General features: G+C 47.8%; 6 annotated features.

The window, feature by feature from the left end:
• Window positions 5,750-6,299: an enhancer, noted in NCBI's record as "H3K4me1 hESC enhancer chr16:87193649-87194198 (GRCh37/hg19 assembly coordinates)". NCBI's record gives its function as "activates a minimal SCP1, AML or CMV promoter by ChIP-STARR-seq in primed H9 embryonic stem cells {active_cell/tissue: H9 hESC(primed)}" and the evidence as "EXISTENCE:reporter gene assay evidence [ECO:0000049][PMID:30033119]".
• Window positions 8,067-9,266: an enhancer, noted in NCBI's record as "BRD4-independent group 4 enhancer chr16:87195966-87197165 (GRCh37/hg19 assembly coordinates)". NCBI's record gives its function as "activates an origin of replication core promoter dependent on BRD2, P300/CBP, MED14 and CDK7 cofactors, and independent of BRD4, by STARR-seq in HCT116 cells {active_cell/tissue: HCT116}" and the evidence as "EXISTENCE:reporter gene assay evidence [ECO:0000049][PMID:35650434]".
• Window positions 9,406-9,606: a silencer, noted in NCBI's record as "peak2654 fragment used in MPRA reporter construct". NCBI's record gives its function as "represses an SCP1 promoter by STARR-seq MPRAs in K562 erythroleukemia cells {active_cell/tissue: K562}" and the evidence as "EXISTENCE:reporter gene assay evidence [ECO:0000049][PMID:32103011]".
• Window positions 18,430-18,724: a silencer, noted in NCBI's record as "tiled region #1579; K562 Repressive non-DNase unmatched - State 13:Ctcf". NCBI's record gives its function as "represses a minimal TATA promoter and a strong SV40 promoter by Sharpr-MPRA in K562 cells {active_cell/tissue: K562}" and the evidence as "EXISTENCE:reporter gene assay evidence [ECO:0000049][PMID:27701403]".
• Window positions 19,521-20,021: an enhancer, noted in NCBI's record as "H3K4me1 hESC enhancer chr16:87207420-87207920 (GRCh37/hg19 assembly coordinates)". NCBI's record gives its function as "activates a minimal SCP1, AML or CMV promoter by ChIP-STARR-seq in primed H9 embryonic stem cells {active_cell/tissue: H9 hESC(primed)}" and the evidence as "EXISTENCE:reporter gene assay evidence [ECO:0000049][PMID:30033119]".
• Window positions 20,022-20,522: an enhancer, noted in NCBI's record as "H3K4me1 hESC enhancer chr16:87207921-87208421 (GRCh37/hg19 assembly coordinates)". NCBI's record gives its function as "activates a minimal SCP1, AML or CMV promoter by ChIP-STARR-seq in primed H9 embryonic stem cells {active_cell/tissue: H9 hESC(primed)}" and the evidence as "EXISTENCE:reporter gene assay evidence [ECO:0000049][PMID:30033119]".

Here is a 20,982-nt window from a genome sequence, read left to right on the forward strand (position 1 = left end):
TCCAGGTGGGAAAATCAACCAACCGCCTTAGAAAACAATCGTACCTCTGAGCCTCGGGGTCTGAATTCCCATCATGGAAAGTCGAGCAAGACTCGATTCATGAAGTTTTGGCCTCCCAAGTGCCCAGTCCCTCGAGATGCTTAAAGTGCTGTCACCATGTCCTCAGCTTCCTGAGACATTATCTGCTGGCACCACTGGGCAGGATATGCAATTGACAGAAGAGCGTGGGCAGCAACTCCAAGGATGGACTCTCATGTGTCTCTGCTTGAAATACAAGCAAAAAAAGGGATAAATGTCTACAAAATCCATTTCAGAAAACTCAGGGAGAGCATCGCCAAGTTTTATGAGAGAAAGTGGCTCATCTCAGGCTCATATTTCACCAAGAATAGAACTTAAACCTAATCAAAATAGGAATTCAGATTCAATTTATGGCCAGGCACAGGGACTCACCCCTGTAATCCCAGTGCTTTGGGAGGTTGAGGTGGGAGAATTGCTTGAGCTCCAGAGTTCCAGACTGCCCTGGCCAACAAAGTCAGACTCCACCTCTGCCAAAAATTTTTAAAAATTAGCCAGGTGTGGTGGTGTATGCCTGTAATCCCAGCTACTTGGGAGGCTGAGGTGGGAGGATCACTTGAGCCAGGAGTTCAAGGCAGCAGTGAGCTATAATCACACCACTGCACTCCAGCCACCATGACAGAGGGAGACCATGTCTGTGAAAAAAAAAAAAAAATTAATTTATTTCTAGGGCTTAAGTAACGAGACGTCTTGAGACCAGGAAGAAAATGCTTCTCTAGATTCTTATATTAGGGAAACAAGAGCATTCAGGATTTGGCATACGGGAATGCTCAGAAAAAAAATAAAAATAAAACAAAAAGCAGGCTGTTCAGAAAGACCAATAAAATAGACAAAACTCTTGGCAAGTATAATCAATTTCTCTTACAATGGAATATTATTCAGCCCTAAAAAGAAAGGAGCCCCGGATGGTGGATGAACCTTGAGGACATTGTGCTCTTTAAAATAAGCCAAAAGGGCAAAAGGCCTGTAATCCTAGTGCTTTGAGAGGATGAGGCAGGAGAATCCTTGAGCCCCGGAGTTCCAGACCACCCTGGCCAAGATAGTAAGACTCCATCTCTGCCAAACCAACCCAAATGCCCATCAATGATAGACTGGATAAAGAAAATGTGACACACATACACCATGGAATACTATGCAGCCATAAAAAATAATTAGTTCATGTCCTTTGCAGGGCATGGATGAAGCTGGAAACCATCATCCTCAGCAAACTATCACAAGAACAGAAAACCAAACACCACGTGTTCTCACTCATAATTGGGAGTTGAACGATGAGAACACATGGACACAGGGAGGGAAACATCACACACTGGGGCCTGTCGGGGAGTCAGGGGGCAAGAGGAAGGAGGGCATTAGGACAAATAGCTAATGCATGCGGGGCTTAAAACCTAGAATGACGGGTTGATAGGTGCAGCAAACCACCATGGCACATGTATACCTATGTAACAAACCTGCACGTTCAGCACATGCATCCCAGAACTTAAAGTAAAATTTAAAAATATTAATAAAATCTTAGCCGGGTGTGTTGGTGCACACCTGTAGTCCCAGCTATATGTAAGTTCCACTTATATGAAGAACCTAGAGTCATTAAAATCACAGAAACAAAAAGAAGCACGGTGGGTGCCCAGGGTCAGTGGGAGGGACGATGGAAAATGGGGAGTTAATGTCGGGGACAGCCTTACTGTCTGGGAGATGAGAAGGCTATGGAGATGGGTGGTGTTGATGGCTGCACAGCGTTACTGTCTGGGAGGTGAGAAGGCTACGGAGATGGGTGGTGTTGATGGTTGCACAGCAATGTGAATGTGCTTCATGTCTTTGAACTAAACTCTTAAAAACAGTTACAACAGTCAATTGTATGTTATGCATATTTTACCACAATGTTTTTTAAAAGACTGTTTTGGGCAGAGGAACCTCCAGGACCTCTCTTCAAGTGCACCAGAAACCAACCAGGGCCAGGAACCAGCAGGCAGTGAGCCCAGACATGCAGCACAGTGGGCAGAGGCTGCTTCTGGAACCAGACACCTGGGCCCACAGCTCACCTCTGCCACCAACCAGCTGGGTGACCTCGGGCAGGTTCCTCGGTCTCTCTGAGTCTCAGATCACCCCATGTATAAAACCAAAACCACAGTGAGCTATCACCCCACCCCAGTTAGAAAGGCTACTATCAAAAAGACAAAACATCACAGATGCTGGCGAGGATGTGGGGAAAGGGGGAGGCTAGTACACTGGGGGTGGGAATGCAAATTAGTACAGCCATGACAGAGCACAGCGTGGAGGCTCCTCAAAGCCCCCACACAGAGCTGCCATAGGACCCAGCAATTCCACTGCTGGACATATGCCCAATGTAAGTGAAACTGGCATATGGAAGAGATACCTGCACTCCCATGTTTATTGCAGCACCATTCACAACAGCCAAGATCTGGAATCAACCCAAGTGTCCATCAACAAATGAATGGATAAAGAAAATCTGGCTATACACACAACGGAATACTATTCAGCCACAAAAGAGAATGCAATCCAGGCCAGGCATGGTGGCTCATGCCCATAATCCTAGCACTTTGGGAGGCTGAGGCAGGCAGATGACTTGAGCCCAGGAGTTCAAGAGACCAGCCTGGCCAGCATGGTGAAACCCCATCTGTACAAAAAATACAAAAATTAGCTGGACGTGGTGGCGCAGGCCTATGATTCAGGTACTGGGGAGGCTGAGGCAGGAGAATTTCTTGAACCCGGGAGGCAGAGGTTGCAGTGAGCCAAGATCTGGCCACTGCACTCCAGCCTGGGCGATAGAGTGAGAGCCTGTCTAAAAAACAAAAACAAAAACAAAAAAACGGATCCTGTCATTTGTGGCAACATGGATGAACCTGGAGGACACAGGCACAGAAAGATACACTCGAGGTGACGCATGACATCACTCATATGCAGAATCCAAAAAGCAGATGTTACAGAAGCGTAAAATAGTGGTTACCAGAGGCTGGGGAGGGGAGTGGGCGGGGGCCTGGGGATGGAGAAAGTGTAGTTAATGGGTACCGGGTCAATTAGACATGAGGAATCAGTTCTGGTGTGCTAATGGGAAGAAGGGTGATTATAGGTAACAATACTGTTTAGTATATTTCAAAATAGTTAGAAGACAGAATTTTAAGCATTCTTACCACAAAGAAACTATGAATGTTTGAGATGATGGCAGTGCTAAATACTGTGATTGGATCATTATACAATGTATCTATTTATCAAAACATCTCATTGTTCCCCATAAATATGTACAATTATTATGTGTCAACATAAAAACACAGGAAAAGCTATAGTAACCAAAACAGCATGGCCCTGGCACAAAAACAGACACATAGACCAATGGAACTGACTAGGGAACCCAGAAACAAATCCACACACCTACAGTGAACTCATTTTTGACAAAGGTGCCAAGAACATACACTGGGGAAGGGACAGTCTCTTCAATAAATAGTTCTAGAAAACTGGCTATGCATATGCAGAAGAGTGAAACTAGACCCCTAGCTTTCGCCACATACAAACATCAAATCAAAATGGATTAAACACTTAAATTGAAGACCTCAAACTATGAAACTACTATAAGAAAACATTGGGGGAAATCTCCAGGCCATTGGTCTGGGCAAAAATGTATTGAGCAATACCCCACAAGCACAAGCAACCAAAGCAAAAATGGACAAATGGGATCACCTCAAGTTAAAAAGCTTCTGCACAGCAAAGGAAACAATCAACAAAGTGATGAGACAACCCACAGAATGGGAGGAAATATTTTCAAACTACTCCTCTGACAAGGGATTAATAACCAGAATGTATAAGGAGCTCAATCAACTCTACAGGAAAAAAACCTAATCATCCGATCAAAAAATGGGCAAAAGATATGAGTACACATTTCTCAAAAGAAGATATACAAATGGCAAACAGGCATCTGAAAAGGAGCTCAACATCCCTGATCATCAGAGAAGTGCCAATCAAAACGACAATGAGATGTCATCTCACCCCCATTAAAGCGGCTTTTATCCAAAAGACGGGTAATAATGAATGCTGGTGAGGATGTGGAGAAAAGGGAACCCTGGTACACTGTTAAGGGGAATGTAAGTTAGAACAACCACTATGGAAAACACTTTGGAGGTTCCTCAAAACACTAAAACTCGAGCTACCATATGACCCAGCCATCCCTTTGCTGGCTAGATACCCAATATATTGAAGAGATATCCACACCCCCATGTTTATTGCAGCACTGTTCATAACACCCAAGATTTGGAAGCAACCTAAGTGTCCACCAACAGGTTAATGGATAAATAAAATGTGGTGTGTACACACAACGGAGTATTATTCAGCCATAAAAAAGAACAAGAGCTGGCCGGGTGTGGTGGCTCCCGCCTGTAATCCCAGCATTTTGGGAGGCCGAGGTGGGAGAATCACCAGGTCAGGAGTTCAAGACCAGCTTGGCCAACATGGTGAAACCCGGTCTCCACTAAAAATACAAAAAAAAAAAAATTAGCCGGGCGTAGTGGCAGACACCTGTAATCCCAGCTACTTGGGAGGCTGAGGCAGGAGAATCACTTGAAACCGGAAGGTGGAGGTTGCAGTGAGCCCAGATCACACCACTGCACTCCAGCCTGGGCGACAAGAGCGAAACCCTGTCTCAAAAAAAAAAAAAAGAAAAAGAAAAGAACAAGATTCTGTCATTTACAACAACATGGATGGAACTAGAGGTCATCATGTTAAGTGAAATAAGCCAGGCACAGAAAGACAAACATCGCATGTTCTCATTTATTTTTGGTACCTAAAAATCAAAACAATTGAACTCATGGACATACAGAGTAGAAGGATGGCTACCAGAGGCTGGGAGGGGAGTGGGAGGCAGCTGGGTCAGCAGGGCAATGGTCTCGTGGGAGTACAAAAAAATAGTTAGACTGATTAAGACCTACTATTTGATAGTATATCAGGGTGACTATAGTCAATAATAACCTAATTGTACATTTTAAAATAACTGAGAGGCCAGGCATGGTGGCTCACACTTGTAATCCCAGTACTTTGGGAGGCTGAGGCAGGCGGAACACTTGAGGCCAGGAGTTTGAGACCAGCCTAGCCAAAATGGTGATACCTTGACTCTACTAAAAACACAAAAATTAGCTGCGCATAGTGGTGCGTGCTTGTAATCCCAGCTACTCAGGAGGCTGAGGCAGGGGAATCACTTGGACCTGGGAGGCAGAGGTTACATTGAGCCGAGATCGCACCATTGCACTCCAGCCTGGGCAACAGAGAGACTCCATCTCAAAAAATAATAATAAAAGAAAAGAAAAGAACTAAGAGTGTAATTGAATTGTTTGTAACACAAAGGATAAAAGTTTGAGAGGACGGACACCCCATTCTCCATGATGTGATTACAATGCACTGCATGCCTGTACCAAAACATCTCACATACCCCACAAGTACATATACCTACTATGTACCCACAAAAAATACAACAATAAAAATAAAAAATAAAAAGAACAAAAGAGGATAAAACTACCCACTTCATAGGATAAATTGTTCCCTCCAGATTGATAAGTTGGCTGTCACACGGAGAAGGAGAAGGAGAAGGAGACAGGAGCCTTTTTTTTTTTTTTTAGATGAGGGTCTTGCTGTTTTGCCCAGGCTGGGCTTGAACTCGGAGATCCTCCCCACTCAGCCTCCCAGGCAGCTGGGACTACAGGTGCACACACTGCACACACACACCCCACCTCTGCCCCTGTCCCTCTTATTAATGGACTCCTCCTGCCCCTGTCCCTCTTCTTAATGGACTCCTCTCCTTTCTTGACCTCAGGCTCACCATGGCTACATTTCTGTGTTTGCTCCCGTTCCTCGCAGCCTGTTGATGTGAGCTCAGAGCTTCTCTTTTGCTGAAGCAGCTGAAAGAGCCACGTTTCCTTTGACTCTCAAGATTGGCAAACAAAGCCAGTCTGGCCTCGGGAGCCGCTCAGAGCCGGTCATGAGCAGGAAGGACTCTTCCAGAAGCATGCATTCTGCCGCCACCCTGGCTGCTGAGCACAGCAAATCCCTTGGCGACACAGGGTCACTCTCATTCCCGCTCACCACAGACTCTAGGAACACACAGATCCGTGTGGCGGCAGAGGCCCTTCTGGGGTGTTGTCTGCCAGTCCCACGCAAACCCCACGGCCCCAGGGGCACTGGGCGGAGCTGCCCAGCCAGACGCCCTCTCTGGGATTGCTCGTCATGCCTGCAGGGAGCTCTTCCCTCTTTCCGGCTTGTCCTGGACCTTCTGCTGCTCAGGTGCTGGAATGCAGAAGGAACAGAGCTTGACCCGTGGCCCAGATCACACCGCAAAGTCCCTAGGGATATGTCCAGCAGAGCCGCGACGTCGGGCCCAGGAGATGGGGTTCTGGGAGGAAGAGAGAGCTATGACACTGTCTTTCTTGCCTCTGAACCCACTCACTTACCTCCCCGTCTCTGAGGGAATGACAGCTCTCATTACACTGAGGCTACCCTGGCGTCTGGCCCCGGAGGCCCCATGCTTCTCCCCTCTCTGGGCTGAGCCTAAATTGCAGGTTGGGTAAGTAACTGTCATGGGGGCCTGCCCCAAAGCTGGCCAGTCTCAGCAGCATCGCGTTGCCCTCAGCTAAATCCACTGCCCCAGAGGGAGGGAGTGTGGAGAAGAGTCTTAGGAGAAAGAGCTGACTCAAATCGCCAACAGGCCCACGTGGCCATCAGCTGACAGACAGGTACATCTGCCTGGGGCAATATTATTCATCAATAAAGAGAAATACAGTTCTGACGCACACCACAACACGGCCGAGCCTCGAAACCCTGGTGCTGAGTGAAAGAAGCCAGACACAAAAGGCCACCTATTGTCTGAGCCCATTTCTAGGAAACGTCCAGAACAGGCAAACCACAGAGACAGGAGTGGATTCGCGGTTGCCAGGGGCCGGGGGAGAGGGAAAGGGAAATAGAGGGGGTGAAGACAGGGTTTCTTTTTGAGGTGATGAAAATGTTCCAAAATTGACTGTGGTGACAGTTACACAACTGCGTGAATATAAAAAACCACTGAGTTGTACACTTTAAATGGGTAAATTATATAGTGTGTGAATTATTTCCCAATAAAGCTGGAAAGGAAAGAAGGGAAGGAAGGGAGGAAAGAAAAGAGAGAGAGAGAAAGGAACGAAGAAAGGAACAAAGGAAAGAGCTGAGACAAAACCCAACATCACCATTTCCTAGCTGTGTGACCTAGAAGCAGGTGACTAGCCTCTCTGTGCCCTAATTTTTTCACCTTAAAAGAATGGTCATGGCCGGGGGCGGTGGCTCATGCCTGTAATCTCAGCACCTTGGGAGGCCAAGGCAGGCGGATCACCTGAGGTCAGGAGTTTGAGGCCACCCTGGCCAACGTGGCGAAACCCCATCTCTACTAAAAATACAAAAATTCGCTGGGTGTGGTGGTGGGCACCTGTAATCCCAGCTACTCGGGAGGCTGAGGCAGGAGAATCCCTGGAACCTGGGAGGTGGAGGTTGCAGTGAGCCGAGATCATTCCACTGCACTCCAGCCCTGGCAACAGAGTGAGACTCGGTCTAAAAATGATACCAACTGTTTGTCTTTCTAAGGATCAATTAGGCCACGCACGTGAACACTTAACACAGTGCCTAGGGGTCGATACACAATCCCCCTTTCTTCACACCACAAGCAGAGAGCAGCGAGAGAGATGAGTGCAGGGACAGGGAGATGGAGAAGGACGGATCACGTTTATTACTGATAAGGCTAATTGGGGGACATACCTCTAGGTCAGCTGGTTGATGAGTAGCTAACACTTCTCCCCAAATTACACAGACCTCCCCACAGTCCAGCAGAGCAGCAAAACCACAGCCTCCTCTGTCTGTCCCTGTACGACCTGTGGTACGGAGGATTGGGAAAGCGCGCCTCCCTCAACACCAGCTCCATGGATGGGGCCAACTGCAGGGAAGAGCTCTCCAAGGCAGAGAGAATAGGAATGCTGCCCCATTGCAGAGACTTCCACCTCGGAACACAAGGAGTGGGAACCTATTCTCACTCCAACAACAGCTGATCGTCAGGTTTATGATTATTATAAATGATGAATAATGCAGTCAGTGCCTGGCAGGCGTAGGCGTGCGGAAGCTTTTTATGAATGTGTTAACACAGTCACACATTTATACATGTGTGTGCATTCGGGGAAAAAAGTGAAAGTGTAGCCACCTGAACATAAGAGCAGTGCAGAAGAATTGGGAATGGTGAAATTCCAGAAGGTCGTGCAGAAGAATTGGGAATGGTGAAATTCCGGAAGGTCGTGCAGAAGAATTGGGAATGGTGAAATTCCAGAAGGTCGTGCAGAAGAATTGGGAATGGTGAAATTCCGGAAGGTCGTGCAGAAGAATTGAGAATGGTGAAATTCCGGAAGGTCGTGCAGAAGAATTGGGAATGGTGAAATTCCGGAAGGTCGTGCAGAAGAATTGGGAATGGTGAAATTCCGGAAGGTCGTGCAGAAGAATTGGGAATGGTGAAATTCCGGAAGGTCGTGCAGAAGAATTGGGAATGGTGAAATTCCGGAAGGTCGTGCAGAAGAATTGGGAATGGTGAAATTCCGGAAGGTCGTGCAGAAGAATTGGGAATGGTGAAATTCCGGAAGGTCGTGCAGAAGAAGTGGGAATGGTGAAATTCCGGAAGGTCGTGCAGAAGAAGTGGGAATGGTGAAATTCCGGAAGGTCGTGCAGAAGAAGTGGGAATGGTGAAATTCCGGAAGGTCGTGCAGAAGAATTGGGAATGGTGAAATTCCGGAAGGTCGTGCAGAAGAATTGGGAATGGTGAAATTCCGGAAGGTCGTGCAGAAGAATTGGGAATGGTGAAATTCTGGAACGTCTGCCTTTTCCTTTTTTCGCTTCTCTGTGTTTTTCAGTTTTGCCTAATGAGCATATTTTTTTGTTGTTGTTATTTTTAAGAAACGTTTCCTTGTAGGTTTCGAAGATGTGAAAATACTCTTTACCCTCAAAATGATTTTTAAAAAAATCTATTTAGGAGCAAGATACTTTGCAGGGCAAACCATTAGAAAACAGACTCGCACGTGGTTTAGACAAAGTGCACTACGGAAGCGCAGAGAAGGTGAGTCCTGGGGCAGGGTCACTTCTCAGAGCAGGCCTGTTGGGCCTGGCCACCCAAGCACCACACCTCAAGGGCTCTGTCTTGGTCAGACAACCTTCATGCCCACACTTTCCAAGGCCTGTAATGAATCTCAAAGCCAGGCTTCCAACATCTTTGACTGTGATGGCATATTCTGACTTTCAATAGCACTTTTCCATTGGATATCCAAGTGTCCAAAGTAGATGTTTCCAGCTCTTTCGAGACTTTTCTTGGTCTTCTTGTGTAGTTATATGATTTCTTCTACAATATCAGTGGTCAAGCTTATTGCTTAATACTGGATGTCATGGCAACTACTGCAGGGGCTGGAAGCCTGGAAACTACATTTCCCAGAATCCCTTGCCATTCAGATGGTTCTAGATTAGACTTCGCCATTGAGAGCCTCCCATACAAGATTTGGGAAGTGGGAGAAAGGCTGAAGCCTGGCTGGGCATGGTGGCTCACACCTATACTCCCAGCACTTTGGGAGGCCAAGGAAGAAGGATAGCTTGAGCCCAGGATCAGAGGCCAGCCTGAGGCAACATAGTGAGACCTCCTCTGTCTCTAAAAAAAAAAGAAAAGAAAAGAAAAGAAAGGCTGAAGCCATTGCTCCCTGGCACTGCACTAGCAGATGAACTTGTGAGCTTTGGCAGCCTGGGGGTCCCGCCAGCCACCCACCTCAGTGCTGCAGGCAGCTGGTACCATCCGCAGCAGTTCCTGTGGTCCTGCAGTACCCTGGTTTGTCAAACTTTCATGTTACCCTTGAGCACGAGTGACAGCTTTCCCTGGTCCTTACTCCTCTAGCTCGTCAACAGTCTTGAAAGCCCCTGGGTGGGGTGCGATGGCTCACACCAGTAATCCCAGCACTTTGGGAGGTTGAGGCAGGCAGAACACGAGGTCAGGAGTTTGAGACCATCCTGACTAAACATGGTGAAACCCCGTCTCTACTAAAAATACAAAAATTAGCCAGGCGTGGTGGCGTGCGCTTGTAATCTCAGCTACTCAGGAGTCTGAGGCAGGAGAATCGCTTGAACCCGGGAGGCGGAGGTTGCAATGAGCCGAGATCACACCACTGCACTCCAGCCTGGGCAACAGAGTGAGACTCTGTCTCAAAAAAAAAAAAAAGAAAGAAAGAAAAAGAAAAAAACCCTGATGCCCTGTATTAAATCCCCTCTTCTTCTGCATGATGCAAGAACTTTTCTGTTAGATTCATAGATAACAGAAGCTCCCACTGACCAGCACCTCCACCTTCCAGAACAGTGCTAAACATTTCACTGGCATTTTGTCACAGTATGAGATAGCTATGACCATTATCATTTCTAATTTTGCTGTGTCCGAGTTCAGGGGGAAAATAAGAGGCACATCTGGGATTTAAATTCAGATCTATCTTCCTCCCAGGCCAGCACTCTTCTTAACACTTCATTGAAGCGCTCCCACTTTCTCCTGGTGAGACCTCTGCCAGTGTTGTCTGTGCACCCCAGCTTTTTAATGTGCAAACCCAGAAAACGTGGATGCCCCTAGAAGATTCCCTGGAGACACATCATTAGATGCAAGGTAGGGTTCCAGAAGACCTGGAGAAAGATTACTCATCTTTCATTTGTTTTGTTTTGAGACAGAGTCTCACTCTGTCACCCAGGCTGGAGTGCAGTGATACAATCATGGCTCACTGCAGCCTCAACCTCCCCAGGCTGAGGTGACACCCCATTTCCACCTCCTGAGTAGCTGGGACCATAGACATGTCCCACCACCACGTCTGGTTAATTTTTGCTTTTTTTTTTTTTTTCCTTTTTGGTAGAGATGAGGTTTTGCCGTGTTGCCCAAGCAGGTCTTGAATTCCTGGGCTCAAGTGATTCACCCACCACAGCCTCCCAGAGTGCTGGGATTACAGGTGTGAGCCACTGTGCCTGGTCTCTTCACTTGTTTAATCGCCATCTCCTTCCTTTTCTCCTGATCTAAAGAAAGGCCAGTTGACTAAGTGCAGTGTCCAGTCTCGCTGGTTTTTAAGATAAACCCAGAGGGTAGACATTGTCTACTGACATAGACACTTATTTCCAAGGAAGCTTGAGAATACTAGAATAGGGAATTCCTGGCTGATTTTTAAGACTTTAATCCCAAGTGGGCAATTCTCGGGGTCCCTTGGGACTCTAATGCCATCTCTACAAGGAGAAAACACTGACAGGCTTGTCGATTTCAAGAGGATGTTGGTGACATTGGCAGCCTGAAGTGCAGCACAAGCTGCATTTGGAATCCAGTTCAGGGGAGAGGCCAAAGGCCCCTGAACCCACTAGGGCGTCCGCTTGTCCTTTTCTCCTCTGATTCTTCGACCTCTTCCACTTCGGGAAGGAAGCAACCGATTCAAGAAATGAGACTAAAGTCATTTGGGGTTTAGGATTATTTTTTTTGAATTTGGTGGAAAATGTGTATATATTTACTTTGGGTCCATTCGAGCTTTGAAACCTTAATGTCTAAATTGCCAGGATTACACAAATTCCCTTTCAAAATCATTGTCACTTAAAATAAAAAGTCTGTCCCGTGGCTTGGAACTGTCTCCCCACTCTGTAAACTGATATCAACACTTCGCCCTTGAGGCTTTTCTTTCCTAATCTAAGCAGATGTGCCCGTTATGTTCCTCTGACTTTGGAGACGCCCAGGAGAGACCTGCTTCCCTTTCACCATGAGAGCTTCTGCCCACGGTGTGCCACAGCCTGACCAGCTCTGGATCCCGTCTTCATGGAAATGGTTCAGGGAACGCTGGAACTGCATGATTTATGATGCTAAACATTTCCCCTCCGTAAAAAAAAATAAATAGATAAGTAAATTGTGGTACAGTAAGGTTTGCAGCGCCAAGCAGGTGGTTTTGAGCAGGGAGGATTCACATCCCAGGGCCAGCCGGGGAGGGTGCCAAGTGGCCCTGGTTTCAAATGTCTTCAGAGTTTTCCAAAGTGAGAACAGAGCAAAGTTTTGAAAGTTCCCTGAAGAGTCCAAAATACTGGCTGATCACATCCTAACTGGAGGCTCTCTAAGCCAACAACAGCCTGCACATGGGGTGCCCAGAGCCATAAACAGTCCGCGTTGGGCCACGCCAGCAAGGGGTGGGGTCAGTATGCAGGCTTTGGGCTCCCCAGCTGCACCCCACATCAGCCGGAGCAGCTCCGCAGCGGTCTGTTTAGTTCTTCACTGGGTTTAGTCGGAGAAAGTTATCTGGACAAAGAAAAAGTTTAAAACCTTATATCTTCTGCAACATTCTCTCTTTTTTTTTTTTTTTTTTGAGATGGAGTCTTGCTCTGTAACCCAGGCTGGAGTGCAGTGGCGCCATCTCGGCCCACTGCAACCCCCTACCTCCCGGATCCCGGTTCAAGCAATTCTCCTGCCTCAGCCTCCTGAGTAGCTGGGATTACAGGCGCCCATGATCACTCCCGGCTAGTGATTGTACTTTAAGTAGAGATGGAGTTTCACCATGTTGGCCAGGCTGGTCCTGAACTCCTGATCTTGTTATCTGCCCACCTCTGCCTCCCAAAGTGCTGGGATTACAGGTGTAAGCCACCACGCCCAGCCACATTCTCAGTTTTGAGATGAATAAAATAAGATTTAGAGAGAAGAAATGACTCACCTTAGGTGAAAGCATTAAACTCACAGGTCCTCAGGCCTGGAATGAAAATATTACTTGTTCTATGTTATGATGCCTACAGCAGACCCAGCAGGTCAGTCACCAGGTTTTTTCCTCTTCTCCTCAACACACAATGAGACAACTTTCCAGCTGTGGTTAGGTGTGGTCACATGATCAGATTCTATCCCATAAGGATACCCTCTGTTAGCTCTTCCCTTGTCTGTGGGACAGATCAGTGGATGCAGTGAAAGATGAGGAGGCTACAGGAAGAAGCTGAGTCCCTGAATGACTGTGTGGAGCAGACACCCAGGAGAGCCACCCAACTGAGAAGCAAGAACACTGGAGGGCAGCAAGAGTGAGAAATAAACTTACGAATTAAGCCATTGCAATGTTGGTTGTTTACTATAGTAGTTGGCCTACCATGGCTAATTCAATACTGTTTAAGAAAAACAGCCACTATTTTATGTGTTTCATTTTGGCTTTCTGCTCACCCAGAATCCATCTCTCTTTTGTTGACCACTCTTCTATTTTCCTCCTCCCTCATTAGTGAATCCTACTGTCAGTCAAGGTGCTCCACCCTCCATAAGCCTGGGGGTGGGCAAAAGATCCAAACTAAGCCTATCAGGCTGTGTCCTGGGACTTTGGATCCTGAGTAGCGTGAATGAAGAAGAGAAATGGTCGCAGCTGATTCATCTCATTAATGGATCCTGTTCCCTGGTTCCCAAGTCATAACAGCATTCCAGTTCCAGTCTTTCCCAGGACCTGATTGTTAAGCTTTTCTTCTGTGTTCCCACCTTATTCCTCCAAGTAACTTCCCTTTGTTCACTCCCCACTTTTTTTCCTCATGTTGGCCAAGCCCATTTCTATTTCTTACACACACACACACACACACACACACACACACACACACACACACTATAAAGATGAAATAATATCAAGACTGCCGACCATGGGGTGACGTCATATCATACTTAACAGTGTCAGCAAATAGCACCTTATTTAAACCTTACACTGACCCTACCAAGTAAATAACATCTTAAAGTGGTTAAGACTGTCACGTGCCCAAGACCACAGAGCTCCTAGGTGGGCAGCTGGGATCAGATTTAGAAGGTCTGTGTTCAATACCAGTATTCTTTCTTCTATAATGGTTGCCTTTACAGGATGGAAATTATTTTATTACCAAAAAATAATGCATGCATATTATTTTTTTTAAAGACCCTGTTTCCCTTATCACCAAAACCACTTGTAATACTTACCTGAGGCCAGGTGCAGTGGCTCACACCTGTAATCCCAGCACTTTGGGAGGCCAAGGCGGACAGATCACTTGAGGTTAGGAGTTTGAGTCCAGCCTGGCCAACATGGTGAAACCCTGTCTCTATTAAAACAAAAAACACAAAAATTATCCAGCCATGATGGCGCACACCTGTAATGCCAGCTACTCGGGAGGCTGAGGCGGGAGAATCGCTTGAACCCAGGAGGCAGAGGTTGCAGTGAGCTGAGAGCACACCTTTTCACTCCAGCCTGGGCAACAGATTGAGACTTCATCTCAAGAAAGAAAAAAACAAACTTACCTGAGTATTACTGCAGAATTTGTCTATATGTATACCAGCATCAAGATTCTTTTTTAAAAAAATCTAGATAAATGGGCCTAAATGCAGTCTTTATTCTGCCTCATTCTTTCAAACCTTGTACCTTAGAGATCATGCTGCCTGTGCACACAGAGACCGCCCTTGATTTCTAATGGCTACCTATTCTTGCATTACAGGTATGTGCCCTGATTTATTTATAATCATCTACTAACAGACATTTCCTTTGTTCCCAGTAGTTTCAGCAACTCTTTTCTTTTCTTTTCTTTTTTGAGACGGAGTCTCGCTCCATCGCCCAGGCTGGAGTGCAGTGGCGTGATCTCTGCTCACTGCAAGCTCTGCCTCCCAGGTTCACACCATTCTCCTGCCTCTGCCTCCCAAGTAGCTGGGACTACAGGCGCCCACCACCACGCCTGGCTAAGATTTTTTTTTTTTTTCGGATTTTTAGTAGAGACGGGGTTTCACCATGTTAGCTAGGATGGTCTCAATCTCTCAATCTCCTGACCTTGTGATCCACCTGCCTTGGCCTCCCAAAGTGCTGGGATTACAGGCGTGAGCCATCACGCCCGGCCAGCATCTCAGTGTTCAATTCACTTCATATATTCATTCATTAAATTTTACATGAAATATATTCATTTGAATATTTCAAATTAAATGACCGTTGCAATATGCCTGTGCCTTTGGTACATTTGTAAGTTAATTAGCACCATGGATTCCTAGAGGTAAAACTGCCAGATGAAGAGGTGCATGAATTTTAAATTTTGAAACATGATCGACTTGTTCCCCTCAGAGCCTACCCAGTTCACACTTTACTCAAACACATCTGGAGGAAGTTTACGCTGCATCAACATGAGAGATGGCATCATGGGCAATTGTTGATTCGGGATTGCTGGCTTCTACAGCCCGGGCACGGGATCCCTGCCATTTGCCCACGAAATGCCAAGATTGCAGCATTTGACCTTTTAGACAATAGCCAAAAGGCATTTTCTCTCAATCAATAAAACACATGAACCCAAGTAAACAAGGTCCCCCCTCCCATCGGGAAAGGGAGGGTTTGGTGCATCCCCCACCAGCTCCTCATGGCGGAGAGTTCTCAGCTGAACACACAGGAGCTTCAGAGCGCTTTGCTGGTTTGGATTACTAGAAAAATGACGTGAGACTGTAAATAGGCCGTGCGGCTACAAGAGCTGGCCACGTGATGCTTTTACTGGCTTCACAAGCAATGAATGTCGACATCAATTTAATTATTTGCTGCTTCCCTGCCTGCCATCTTCCCGCAGAGGAAGGGCTATCACAGAGTGTCCTCACCTGGGCTGCAGCCCTCCGAGGGCCCTAAGTGTTGCAAGAGATGCTATCCTCAGACAGAGGGTCTGAATGCTGAACTTCCAGCCGGAGAAAGAGGTAGTAGGGGTAACTCGCTGTTCCCTTGGTTACCAACCCCCCCACCCACCACTATGAACCTGCCTCAGAATTCAAAGCAGGTTACACTAAAGTGACTGGGTGGACCCAGCACATATAGCTGCTTTCTCGTTTTCATCTTATAATGATTCTGGGCAATGGCCATCTTTGACCTCCCTGAGCCCCATATTTCCCATCTGTCAAAGGACCTGGCACCCAGGGGTCAGTAGGGGAGCCAGGAGCTAGAATGGGGTGCCCTGAGTGCAAGGGCAGCTGTCACATGACTCTCAGCAGCCTCAGACTCAAAGTCTTGAAAACAGGCTGCAAGTTCCTCAGCAAGATGCCCTTTGATGGTGCTCTGATCTCATCTCCTGCTACAGCTGTGCCCCCGAGACACTCTCAGCCATACTGGCCTCCTTGCAGCCCATGGGATTTTCCAGGTCTGTTCCTACCCCAGGGCCTTTGCACTGTCTGCTCACCCAGTGGAACTCTTACCCCACGTTTCCACATGGCTCCCTGTCTAACTTCTTTAAATATTTTTCTCAAATGCCACCTTCTCCGAGAAGCCTTTGGGCCAACCATCCTATTTAAAGTTGTAAGGCCACCCTCACCTCCCGCCCTCCACCGCAAACTCTCTCTCTCACTTCCATGCATTCTTTTTGGCTCCATGTCACCAGCAGACAAACATCACATTTACTTTTTAAAGATTATTACCTATCTACCTATCCCCTAGAATGTAACCTCCATGGAGGGAGGATTTGTTTCTATAGTCCTGTTTTAGTTTGGTTTTCATCTTCTCTACTGTATCCCCAGAGCCTAGAGCAGGGCCTGGCTCTGAGTCGGTGCCAGGGAACTGTTGGAAGGTGAGTGAACCAAGACAACATGATGTGGCTGAGACACTGTGATGCATTCATCGACCCTGGTCCCCTTCCTGGACACACAGGAAAATGGCATTTCTCAGGCTCTTTTGTAGCTAAGTGGGTGCCGTGAGACTGATTTCTGACCAATGGGGTGCTAGTGGAAGTGTTCGAGGCCCCTCCCAGGCCCAGTGTAGGAAACATCCTGCAGGACCCCCTAGTCTCTCTTTCACTTTGTCAGTCACTATGGAGGCTGCATGGTGGGGGATGGGGGGCCATGGATGAAAACAGTCTGGATCCCTGAGTCTCAACATGGAGGCAGCAACCTGGAGAGCCACTCACCTGAACTGGGCTTTGTACAAGACAGAAGTGAACCTTTACGGCATGAAGCTGTTGAGATTTCAGGACGTATTTGTTACTGCAGCAAAAATTAACATAGATGGAAAAATACTGGACTACAACTCAGGAAGCCCCAGTGATAAATACAGTCACTACAAAATAGCGTATTTGTTCCTTAAAATCACTGCACTATGTGCAAGACTGCACATCAAAGTCACAGGGCTTATGGAGAAAGTGGGATTAGGAGAACAGCAATCAGAAACTGTAACAGCGACACGTCACATTACAAACGATAGGAATCTAATTAAATTGGTACCAATAGTTACACAATACATAAAGACCACAACAGATACAATGTTTCACCTTGAAAAAGGCAAAGTTTGCTGGGGAAGGGGGGTCAGGAAGGGCTGCAGTTTTTGAGTTATTATGAGTGGCAGAAGGAGAGTTGTATGAAATAGAAAGCTGTAACTCCGATGAGGATAGGTGTGGCCGTAACACTTGAGGTGCACTGGATGGCCAGTAGGTGTGTGTATGCATGTGTATGTGTGTGTTCATGCATGTGTGTGTGTGCATGTGTGTATGTGTGCATGTTCATTCATATGTGTACGTGTGTGTTCATGTATGAGCATGTGTGTGCATGCATTGTGTGCATGTGTGCGTAAGTGTGCGTGTTTGTGCACGTGTGTGCACTGTGTGCGTGAGCATATATGTGCATGTTTGTGCATGTGTGTCTGTCCATCTGTGTGCATGTGCATACGTTTACATGTCTGTGTGGATGCGTATGTGCGTGTGTGTGTTCATGCATGTGTGCATGTGTGTGTGTCTGCATGTCCTGCGTGTTCCTATGTGGCCTGGCTCAGCTGAGTGCAGTCATCTGTGTCCACCCAGTGTTTCTCGCCAACAAAATCATGTATAAGCCAGCTGAAATCCACATGATGTTCAAATTGTTCCCTAAAATATCAATCATATTGGAACAAATTCATGTTTTTAGATAAGCATCCTAGCAGAACTGACTGTGATAGGGAGATTGTGGAATTCCTAAACTCTCAAACTCAGGGAGGGCCCAGATTCACATTTGTAGCCAGCACCAGGAACTGCACAGCTGATGGTCTGTAAAGCCTCCCCAGGGAAGATGGCACTGGAGAACATGGGGACCACGTCTGTCCCCATCACCACCTTAGCTCTGCACCTGGCCAGTGAGAACACCCAACAAATAGCCATGGAATGGAGGAAAAGAAGGATGTGTTTACTTTGATTCAGACCATGTTTGTTGAATGAATGGAATGAGTGGATCCAATAACACGGCATTGTCTACCATCTTACACGAGGACACTGAGGCTTAGGAATTTAGAATAGGTCTCAATCCTAGGCCTGTCTGGTTCCAAGAGCTGGGTTTTGAACACCTACACGGCAGGGCCACTCTGAATTCTGAGCAAATTCTACATCAACCTGCAGGGTCTTTGAACCAGGGACTTCATCCTTCTACCCTCAGATTCCTCACAGAAAGTCATGCCAGCGCTAGACCTGTGGTCAACACTGCACCCTCTGGCCAAATCTGGCCACTGCCTGTTGCGGTGAATTTCACTGGAACTCAGTCACAGCCATTCCTTTACATATCCACCATTCCTGCTTTCATGTTCCCAAGGCAGTCAAGTAGTTATGCAGACACCAGGACAGACACCAGCAAAGACTGCAACATTCACTCCCTGGCCCTTTACAGAAAGACGGTCCCAGGCCGGGCACAGTGGCTCACGCCTGTAATCCCAGCACTTTGGGATGCCAAGGCAGGCAGATCACCCGAGGTCAGGAGTTCAAGACCAGCCTGGCCAACATGGTGAAACCCCATCTCTACAAACACAAAAGTTAGCCGGGCATGATGGCGCGTGCCTGTAATCCCAGCTACTCGGGAGGCTGAGATGGGAGAATTGCTTGAACCCAGGAGTCGGAGGTTGCAGTGAGCTGAGGTCACGCCAGTGTACTCCAGCCTGAGCTATACAGCAAGACTCCATCTCAAAAAAAAAAAAAAAAAAAAAAAAGACTTTGCCAACCCCTGCACTACACAGCCTCTGGGATCTGCTGGGAGTTGCCATTTTCCACACCTTCACCTGTGGAGAAGAAACCCCTAGTTCTGACCTTCTCCTACGTGAGCAGGGTGGGAGGTGTGGGCACACACCCACATGCACACACACACACACACTCACACACACTGAGGTCAGACATTATCTGAGTGAATCACTGAGCATGCATTCAGCTCTCCCTGCCACCCCAGGCACTGTGCCCATATCTGGGGGCAGCCATCCTCCCAGCCCACCCTCCAGGGCCCCCTTGTCGGCCCACGCCCTCCATGGGCTGAGAAGTGCAGAGGCGAAACCCTCCCTTTCCCCTTCCTCTTGGGACGCCTCGATAGCCTGTCTGTCTGGGCCGCCGTGGGCTGGAGGGAAGGCCACGGGTGTGACCTACTGAGTCAAGTGCAGGCTGCCCAGACTAAACATCCTTAATTAAGCTCCACAAAGGTTAAATGGCAATTACACTGCCTGAGGAGGCCTGCGTTCAACAGAGTGGCCCTTTTACCCTCAGGATCATAGGGAATGCCCCTCAAGAAAGGAGCCCCTCTTCCCCAAGGGGGGTTGCTGAGAACTGCCCACCCCTCCCCCCGCAGGTGGAAACTCGGGTTTGCTGTGGTGGGTCCCATCCATGGCTTCCTGGTAAAGGGTCGAGTCCCCGGTACATGGAGTGTCGCCAGCACTAATCCTCAGGGTGGCATTCACTAACCTTTCAGGCCACATGCCTTGAGGGTCTAAGGATTGAGTGTGACACCATGAACTCAGCCTTCTCTTCCTGGCACCCCCTTGGGATCCTTTCAGCTCTTCCTTCAGAATAGATGCTGAAGCCGGGCACTTCACATGGCCCCCAACACTGTCTCTCCCCTCCCAGGGCAGCAGCCTGGTCCCCAACACACCAGGGCATCCCTTGTGCTATAGGGCAGCCCCCGCCCTCCATGCTCAGCACCCTGAAGCAACCCATATCTGGGGGCCACAGCACAGTCGCAAGGTCCTTCACCCGGCCCCATCCCCTGCCTCCACCTGGAAGTGACTGTCCCCATGGCCTCCTTACTGGCCCAGCCCCGCCCACCTCCTGGCCTTTGCAGTCCTGCTTCCTCTGCCTGGGCTGCTCTTCCCTGAGACAACAGCGCAGCTCCATCTCTCACTTGCTCCAGGTCACAAACCATCATCCCAGAGCTTTCCTAAACCCACTCCCTAAACCGTGGCACCCACCCTACCGCCCTCTTCAGCCTGGCCCTTCTTGAATGTCCTATTTTCTACTTAAGCTAAGGAAAAAAATGCAATTCAAAGGTGGGGAAGTGTTTGTTTTTTTTTTGTTTTTTTTTTTTTTTTTTTTTTTTTTGAGATGGAGTCTCCCTCTGTTGCCCAGGCTGGAGTACAGTGGCGCAATCTGTGCTGACTGCAACCTCTGCCTCCCAGATTCAACCGATTCTCCTGCCTCAGCCTCCTGAGTAGCTGGGATTACAGGTGCGTGCCACCATGCCCAGCCAATTGTTTTTGTATTTTTAGTAGAGACAGGGTTTCACCACGTTGGTCAGGCTGGTCTCGAACTCCTGACCTCGTGATCCGCCGCCTCAGCCTCCCAAAGTGCTGGGATGACAGGTGTGAGCCACCTCGCCCGGCCGGGGAAGATTTTTAAACATTGAAAGGGCATAAAATTCCAAATAAAGGCAAGTCCATTAAAAATAATAATAATACGCTCTTGATCCTACTTTTGTGAGTACGATTTTTTGGAATCAGGCGTATGCCAGAATGGGTGGACACCAGTGGGATTCTCCTGGTCTGTGTTCCTCCCAGGCAGAGGTGAGATGAGGCCTTGGGAGGAAGTGGCTGGGGAGGCTGGTGGCCCCAGCAAGCACGAGGGAGGAGCAAGGAGACTGAGGCAGAGAAAAGAGGCCAGCCTGTGGGGTGCATTAAAGGCAAGCCCAGGGGCACA

Source organism: Homo sapiens, chromosome 16 (genome assembly GCF_000001405.40).
Source record: "Homo sapiens chromosome 16, GRCh38.p14 Primary Assembly".
NCBI lineage: Eukaryota > Metazoa > Chordata > Mammalia > Primates > Hominidae > Homo > Homo sapiens.